Here is a 9,300-nt window from a genome sequence, read left to right as displayed (position 1 = left end):
GCTACTGGCTTCTGACTCACTGAATGATGGTGGGATTGCAGTTTCATCTTCTTTATAAACTCGCTCTTCACTGGCAAGTTTAAATGACTTGGAAGGCTGTCAGCTTTGAGTAGGACCTAGCAGGAAATCTCTGTAGCCGTTCTAGGCCGCAATGCAAGTGGCCCTGCTGCTTGGGTCTTAAGGCCTGGCAGACCCTATGTTATTATACAGAGTATATGGTATGGTAACAGAGATAACTGTGGTGGAAAAGATCCTGTATGAAGTATATGGCAAACCACAGTAAAAGCACCACAGTGTAGGTACATATGTTTCTGGAACAAAGATAATGCCATCTGCACCAGAAAATTATGCCAAAGACCATGGTGTGCTACTACCCTGGTAGCATGATGGTAGGACATGAAATGATTTTGTGACCAGAACTTCCCACCATGGTTTTGGTCCTGTCAGATGCATCAAGTCATATGATGAGACAAGCCTAACAGCAATCTCTTGAAGTGGTGCATCTGAAATAGAGTCTAGGTCATCAGATACTCTGGTGCTTGCACAACTGACTCATGAACAAAGTAGTTACGGTGGCAGGGAAGGAGTCTTTAACACTACAGACTCTCACTGATCAAAGCTGATTTAACTACTGCTGCTGTTGAATAGCCAACCTGCCAGCGATAGAAACCCACACTGAGCCTCTAATGTGGCAACATTTCAGGAAGGACCGACCAGCCTCTCCATGGCAAGTTGATTATATTGGACTCTTTCCACTTTAGAAGAAACAGCAATTTATCTTGACTGAAATCAATACATTCTGAATATGGGTATGATTTTCTTTCTCCCAGGGCCTCCATCAGCCCCATTATCTGGGGCACATTTGATCCACAAACACAGGATCATATATCACATCAGACCAAGCAGCCCACTTTATAGCACAGAAGGGACTACTATGAACATATGACCATGGATCCACTAATCATAACAGTTACAGCACTGCCCAGTAGCTGCTGGTCTGCTGGACCACAGGGATAGCATTTTCAAACAGCAGCTGATGTGCCAGCTTGGAGAGGGTGCTGTAAGGAGAGGGGCTCCATCCTATAGTATACAATGTACACTCACATATAATGACCGTTACATGGTATTATGTCCCCAGTAGGGAGAATACCAAGACTTGGGAAGAAAAGTGATATTGGGATTGCCCCTGATTATCTCCACAGACCCATTTGGATAATTTATGCTTTCTGTCTCTGAAACTGTGTGTGTCAAAGACCCATAAGTTCTGAACCTCAGAGAGGGAATGCTTCCACCGGAGGACACAGCAAGAGTATCACTAACTGAATTCTGACTGCTACCTGGTTACTTTGAGCTCTTGAATGTGGGATGTCCCTTAGATGGGGTGTGTCCTAAGATGAGGTAGCTTTCTTTGACTGAGGTCAATGCCGAGGGAGGAACCTCGGCTATGAGCCTTCAGCAGCCATGACTCCTGGCATCTGAGGAAATGAGTGTCTTCATCTTGAAGAGGGGATTGGCCAACAACCACAGCATCCACTACAGTCCATTCCTTGCACTGCTGGGCAGCGTACGGCTTTTATGGACATTTCACCCCATCTGAGAACAGCTTTCTCAGGATTCTGGTAAGTTTCTCTTCCTCGCAAAATTATAGGAAATCAGTGACACAATTTATAATTCCCAACACTGGAGCTGGTCTTAGGGACACAATGGATGGTCATCATTTTATCCATCTGTTGTAGCCACACTACCACTCAACTTCTCCTCTGCCTCATCTCCTTACAGCTATCGTTGCTGTGAGCAAGCCCTAGTGGGCATGCAACTCTCCACCACGGAGCCTTATTTCCAAGGACTCTGCCCTTCATATCTCAATTTCCCCTTTCCTCAGAGGGACATTAAATATTTTGCAATAAATACAGTGCTTACAAACAGCCTTACAGAGAGTATATTGACCTGCAAACATAATATCATCTGCTCACCTATGACAATTTTCAGCTTGTAAGGCAGGTATCTTTCTCTAAAACTTACCTGGAAAACTGGTAGAGAATCCCCCCTAAGAGTTTTAATTTTGAGGGGACACAAGTGCAAAAAAGCAGTTACACTTGCTATATTAATTAGTTTGCAAGGGCTGCTATAACCAGCACCACAAGCTGAATGGCTTAAACAAAAGAAATGTACCTCTCATGGATCTAGAGGCTGGAAGTTCAAGATTAAGGCATTGGCAGGTAAGTTCCTTCTGAGGGCCGAGAGGGAGAATCTGTTCTAGGCTGTTCCTCTCACCTAACTTCTAGTGATTTGCTGGCAATTTTTGGTGTTCCCTGGCTTATGGGGCATTACCCCAATCTCTTCCTTTGTCTTCACATAGCATTCTCCCTGTGTGAGTGTCTCTGGTCCAAATTTCCCTTTTTATAAGGACACCAATCATGCCGGATTAGGAGCCTACCCTATTCTACCATGACCTCATCTTAATTTAACGAATTATATATGTTATGACCCTATTTCCAAAATAAGATTACATTTTGAGATACTGGGGATTAGGACCTCAGCATAGCATAGGAATTCTTGTGAGACACAATTCAACCCATGGAACTGAACTTTGGGGAAAAGATTGCATTTCTTTGGGAAATTAAGTGGGAGAAAATACAAACTGTAGAAGTAATAGGCCTGGGACTCTTTTCACGTGGAAAATTTAGATCATGATTCCCCAAGAAAAATGACTTGCTGTCCACTTGCTGTTTGGGGCATCTCCTGCATGGCTGACTTTCAGATGAGGCAGCAGAAAGCACTAGACTCCATTTGTATCCTGACTTGTACCTGTCTCTTTGCTCCATCTGAAAACTTTATGGTAGAAAAAGAATCAAGTGTCTTCTCTGCATGAGTCCCTAGTAACTGGTTACAGCTAATCTTCTGGAGAAGGAGAATTCAATCTAGCCATTAGAATTATGGGCACAACTTCTGGAAGATGAAAACCCTCATCATCCTGTTTGGTTCACTGAACCTGAAAGGCCCACATGCCATCTCTCATGGCCAAATCGAACATCTGCATTTCGGTTGGTACATGCCTTTGGAGTTGGCACTGGCCCTGTGACCACAGTGCATTCTATTGCAGCTGTTCTAGTGGCTTGGCTCTTTTTTTATCCCCTTAGGTCTTCTGGTGGAGCAAGAGGACACCCATGGTGGAAGCCAAGAGAGTCATCTTAATGAATGGCATATTACAGCCCTTGTGAATGGGACTTGCATTGTTCCATAGCATAGCTGGCCAAATTCCTGTGATTGACGGGTCAAGTTAAATCAGGCATAAAAGTGATGTGGAGTCTTTTCTTTCAGGAAACCTGTCACAAAAGCACTCTTGTCCCAACCAAGGCTCCTTTTTGTATGCACTCTTAGAGAAAAGTTAAATTTTATATATGAATGTGGAGCATGTCCTGTGTAGGAGGACTCTGGAACTAAAGTTAGTCAGACTTACAAAGTAAAAAGCTGTCCCATGCCCTTACGTGTACCATTCATGCGGTGGATCTGGGTGCACAGACCCCTGACTATAAAACCTGGGTCAACGCCTCCAGCTGTGGCCTCTCCTCTGACAACCAACTCATTAAACGCAGGATTCAGGAACCTGGTAGAACTTGGCCACAACTGCAAAAAACATATTTCAGTCCCGAAGTGTCAGAGTCGGGGGCAGAGGAGGGAGGATGAACCAAACGCTAAAGCAAATAAAAACATCTTTTAAAATGTTGTCTGCTTGCTGCCAAATGGGAGCTCAGAGGGAGTGCCACCAGGAGCAGTTCCACATGGCGAGGCCTTCCGTGGAGAAGCCTGGCTGGCAGGCTGGGAGGATTCAGTAATTAACACTGTCAAAGCCTCATGAGGCCCCATTTCAGCAGCTCGATTTGGAACCGGCTGCCCGAGTACAGTCACCCTTCAGCGGCACAGCTGGGGTGTGGAGTCCATCAGCAGCTGGTGCATGTGTGGCTTAAACTTTGCTGTGAGGTAGAAGGAAATCCGTGGGGATTCTTTTGGGTGCTTTAACCCTGTGGGGATGGGGGCTCACAGTATCTGATTTTTGAATAGTCAATTAAATGAGGGGCTTTAAGAAGCTGGAGCAGCCCACTCCTGGAAATAATAGCACTGAGATGGCTCCATAACAAGATCAGAGCCAGAGAGCCACACAAGGATACTTCAGGCTATAGCCCCGTACTTATGGAACAGGCTGTTGTGGGCTGGAAGGAGGGCTGAGGAAACATTGGGAAGGATAGATAAAGTTACAACCTATGAAATAGACTCTGAAACAGGGTATGGTAAGGTAGAGTGATGGCCATCTCTTAAAAAAATTAGTGAATAGGAGCTGTGCTGTAATGGAAGAAATGTAAACTGGGTTTATGGTTTCAATTCCCAAGACCAATACTCTTAGCACTGTGAAGTTAGACAAGTTGCTCAACCTTTTTTAACTCATTTCTTTATATACATAAAATCAGGATTATGATAGCTCATATGGAATGTTTATCATGAATATATATGTAGACCGATACTATCTAGTAAAGAAGCTATAAATATATGAATATATACACGTATGTATAGTTTTGTGTATATCTGTCATTTATTGATCAACTACTATGCACTCAACAAACATTTACTGAGTACCTCCTATGAGCAGGCAAGTCTTGATCTATAACAAGTGAGATTCCTCTTCTCTTGGGGCATACATTCTAGTAAATGAAGAAAAGAAAACAGACAACTGAACATGTAAATAAATAATATATTTTCAGATTGTGGGGAGACCTATCCTCAGCATTTAAAAGGATGGTATGATGAAGAACTGATAAGACTGCTTTAGGTAGAACAGTCCCAGGATATTTAAATAATTTTCCTCATGCAATTTTGCTGATATCCCTGTTGTGGTAGGCACTACTGTTACCATTCGCCAACAGAGAAACTGAAGTTCTATAGGTTAGCTCTAACAGAGCAGGTTTAAAAATGTGGATATTCAATCAGAATTGAGTGAGCTACACTGAATACAACCTCTTTAGTACATGGACATCTAAAATCAATGGATGTTTCCAGCCCACATTCGCTTTTCTTTTGTAGGTAAAATATTGTTTGCTAGAACCTATATGTATTATATATTTTGAATGAACGACATCCACTGAGAATTTTGGAATATAGGTTACCTATCATTAAGCATTGGAAAAGACATGAAAGGACCTAAGACCATTACACTGCTAGGTTACAGACCAGGTTCCCGTCACAGGCATTTCAAGCAATCTTAGGAGACTGTTTCACAATAAACCAAGACTCCTCTCAAGAGATTAAGACAGTTGAGTGGAACGGCTTCGAACAAATATCTTTGAATTGGGAAAGATCGCATCTTCGGTTTTATTCTTTTCATGTTTCTTACTAAAGCCTTTATTACTTGTCACGTTGTAAATGGTTTAAGTAAAGGGCAGATACCTAAACTTGCATCGTGGGGAAAATATTGCAACGGGGAGGAGGAAATTAAATCATATACATCTTTGTCAAAACATGTTTTTAGCTAGATTTGAAGCATCAGTATCTTTTTTTTATTATGCCAAGTTTTAAAATTATGTGAAACGTATGTCTCCCTTGGACCCACAGGAAGGACCCAGCTAATGAAGGGTAAAATGGTGCTAATGAGAAGCTAAAACCATAGAGGTGAGAGCCAGGATTCAAGCTCACATCTCCACAATCATTGTTCTTTCCAGATTACTATATTGCTTTCTGCATAAAGAATCATGTAAATTTGCCAAACATCGCATCAGGCACAGGGTAGACAACAATAAATGCTGACGTCTGTATATGGCTGAGGAAATGAACGAACAAATGGATGATGGCACAGATCCCCTCCACCACTGCTTCTCTCTCTTATGTTTCACGCTCTCTTCTTACTACTTCCCAGTGAAGCCCCTAGGTTCCAGGCACCCTAATTCTTTGGTTGCCCCTGCCTAACTTTTGCTAACCTTAAATGTCTTGCCTTGTCTCGTGTTATTTTCTCACTCCTTTCTCATCAGCCCTCTTTCTCACCCCCTGAGTGTGCAAACGCCTTCCCAGCTTCACCTCTCAAAAGGCTCCCAGACTTAGTAAATACTATCAGTCTTGTCTAAGATTTGGCCCAGATTTCTCTGACACCACTGAGTCCCAAGCACTTAATTTCCACCCTTTGTTGTCTCACTCAACCTTTAAAACAACCCATATGTGGTACGGTTCTCATTGTACACTGAAGAAAACTGAAGCCCAGAGCATTTACCAGCTTCTCCAAAGTTGCCCTGCTGGTAAGTAGTGGAGTGATAAATAAACCTATGTCCTCTGTCCTGATTTGCTGGCCAAAAGCATGACAATGGATCAACATTGGTTCTATTTACCCTTCCTTCCTTAGTGGTGAGTAGTCAATAGGGTGACAGTATGTAGGGAAGGAAAATAACTGTGAAAGATCCTTCCGAATCACCCCGTGCAGAACCAAGTAGTTGAGTACTGGGGAGTGGTAACTAACATGTTGGGAAGTAGCATTTTGGAAAAACTTTAATGGTGAGCTTTGTCACACACTACATTTCCTAGATCTGCTCTGTTAAGCAGCTAATTAATTCTCTTGGGGCAATTACCCACCTACCAGAAATGGTCTGCTGCAGGCCCATGCCCCTAGGCACAGTCTGTGTTAAATAAACAGCAGAAGAACCCTGAAGTGGCAGGGTTGTAGCCACTCCTTCCTCAGGTCAGCACTTGGAACACTTGCTTGCTCTGGGCCGGGCTGCACAGCATCATGCACAGGTGGGTGTTCTGTAAGTGCTTTTTAATGATGGTGGTAGTGGTGATGCATGAAGGTCTGTTTATACTTGCAGAGAGGGTCGTGTATTTTAACAAGGAGGACTTTTGATTGGCATTTCAAAGAGGCCAGTGTTGTTGGAAAATGTCAGCACCCTGCGTAGGAGGGCACTTCATAAGTGTTGAGGGATTGGGCCTGCTAGGGGATTAGGATAATTGTTTTGGAGTGAATGGGCAGGCTCAGTAAAGGTGACCTGAAGTCATTTTAATGGGCATCATGGAACTCATGGTGACAACTCAGACTAGTGGATTAAGATACTCTGATGGAAATTCCCAATCACTGCTTAGCACTGGTTCCGCTGGGATACTGGATGCCTATTGTATTGCTGTGCCTGGTAGGGTGACTCAGTTGCTGGGCTCTAGTAAAGAAATGCTGATCAAAGGAACTGCCACCCCACCATGTGGCACAGGGCTCCTTTGCCTCCAAAGATGAAAGGTGCCTATTTCCATGGCACTTATTATTCAGGGAGAGTCTTTTAATGCATGCCAGTTAAAGATCAATCAGGGATGAAGTCAAACAGTCTCAGAATAGAAAGTCCTATGGATGAAAGCAAAGAAGGGAAACTTTCTCCTGAGTAAGCACCAGGCCTGCTTGCTGAAAGTTAGTATTACATCTAGTTTGCAGGCTTTAGGAATAAAAGATAAGCGTCAGAATGAATGCACAGGTAGATTCTGAGTTTAAAAAAATAGTGGTTTATATTATGTACTAGTAGTCCACGTCTACCTGCAATCCTTTATATATGATAGAAATGTTGGGTAAAAAACTTAAATTTCAAGTACTGGTTGACCCAGCCCAAAATTATTGAATCGGGTCCTTTTTTTGGCCAAAGGCTGGGATGCTATCATTGCCCTTCATGTTTGGATACTTTTGCTTTATGCAACTTGAATTTCTTTGTGCATGAGACTATCCAATGGCCGTGAGTATCACAACCACCCTAAAAGAACTAAAAGAAGGTATTCTCGAAACAAAAACTGGCTTTCTCTGCAACTTTATTTCATCATGAATATATGAAGATAATTACTGATTGGTGATTTCAAAGTTTATAGTGCTGTCAGCTGGCATGGGGGCTTTAAACAATAATGCTCTGAACAGTTATAGTTTATCTAAATCAGATGCTCATTAAGGAATTGGCTAGAGTGGACAAGGAGGGAAGCATAGGGCAGGCAGGGCAACACATCAGCTTAGGAGCTATGGAATGTCCAGCTTTGCTGCATTGCGAGATTTGCTCCCGCAGCAAACAAACAAACTTTGGGTTCCTATAGAATACAAATTGAGGAACTGTATACACAAGTAGCACTCAGTCTGGAAATTCCATGCCTTCCCACATTGGTTTTTGTAAACAGAGTCTTAACACCCACATTACATACCTGGCCTGGGCTGCCTATAATCATTCCAGTTCTTTTGGTGAGTAGACAATAACTGTTTCAGATACTAGACTCTTTTAAGTTTAATGCTTATATGCTGTATTTATGGAGCATAACTGGTCCAAGATAGCTCTTCTTTAAATTAAAAAATGCATAATATGTAATAAAATTTACTGTTTCTCTATGCAACATGCTCTTTCTCTACACACATTCATCTTTGAAATTCCTCACTCAGGATTCTCAAAGGGCCAAGGAGAGTAATGAAGATCTTGATGAAATAGCCCAAAACTTTGAAATATTCTTTCTCTAGAACAGTATCAGAACCACTGTGGGTGGTTGTTAAAAATTGAAATTCCTGGAATTCAACCCAGGTCTACTAAATCAAAATCTTGTGCTGCTTCAGGAATCTTCCATTCATATAAGTCTCACAAGCACTTTTGTGAACCTCTGCCAGATGCCACCAACTTGTTTTCAGGGACGACGCTACACCTATTCTAGTGTTTTGGGTGAGTAATTCTCATGCTTATAGAGAAATTCATCTAAGTTTGCTTACCTACATTTTTATCTGATTCTAGGGAGATGGATTAGTGTCCAAATAATTTATCTAAAACAGAAACAAGGATTTAAACAAAAATCTTCTTCCTGGTCCTTTCTGCTCCTCCCTCTCCTCCTTTTCACTCTTCTTCTTTTCTCTTCTTTTAAAACTTTCCTGGCCTCAGTTACAAACATATGTGTCATACTGAGGAAGATAGAGGGTAAAATGCCAGATAACAATAAAATGTCAAGGTGAGCCAACCTCGTTTTTGGGATTCATGTAGAAAGTCTGAGGGGGGAAAATTTATTTACAGGTGGGTTCTCCAGAGGAAGAATGGCACACTGCAAGGCTCTTAGGGAGAGCATAGGAGAGCTGGAAAGGTGAATGCTGAAGAATAAAATAAAGACATAATTTATGAAAGAGGACAAACGGTAGTAAACTGAAGATACCGAGGGATGTAAATTTTACACAGAATACAACCCAGCGTCACTATGCTGGTGAATGTTGTGTGAGGAAGAAAAGAGTTTAAAGAAATTTATTTGACGTCTAGCTGAGCCAGAGAAGCGACTACTCAC

This window comes from Homo sapiens, chromosome 9 (assembly GCF_000001405.40).
Source record: "Homo sapiens chromosome 9, GRCh38.p14 Primary Assembly".
Lineage (NCBI taxonomy): Eukaryota > Metazoa > Chordata > Mammalia > Primates > Hominidae > Homo > Homo sapiens.
This window is presented reverse-complemented; position numbering follows the sequence as displayed.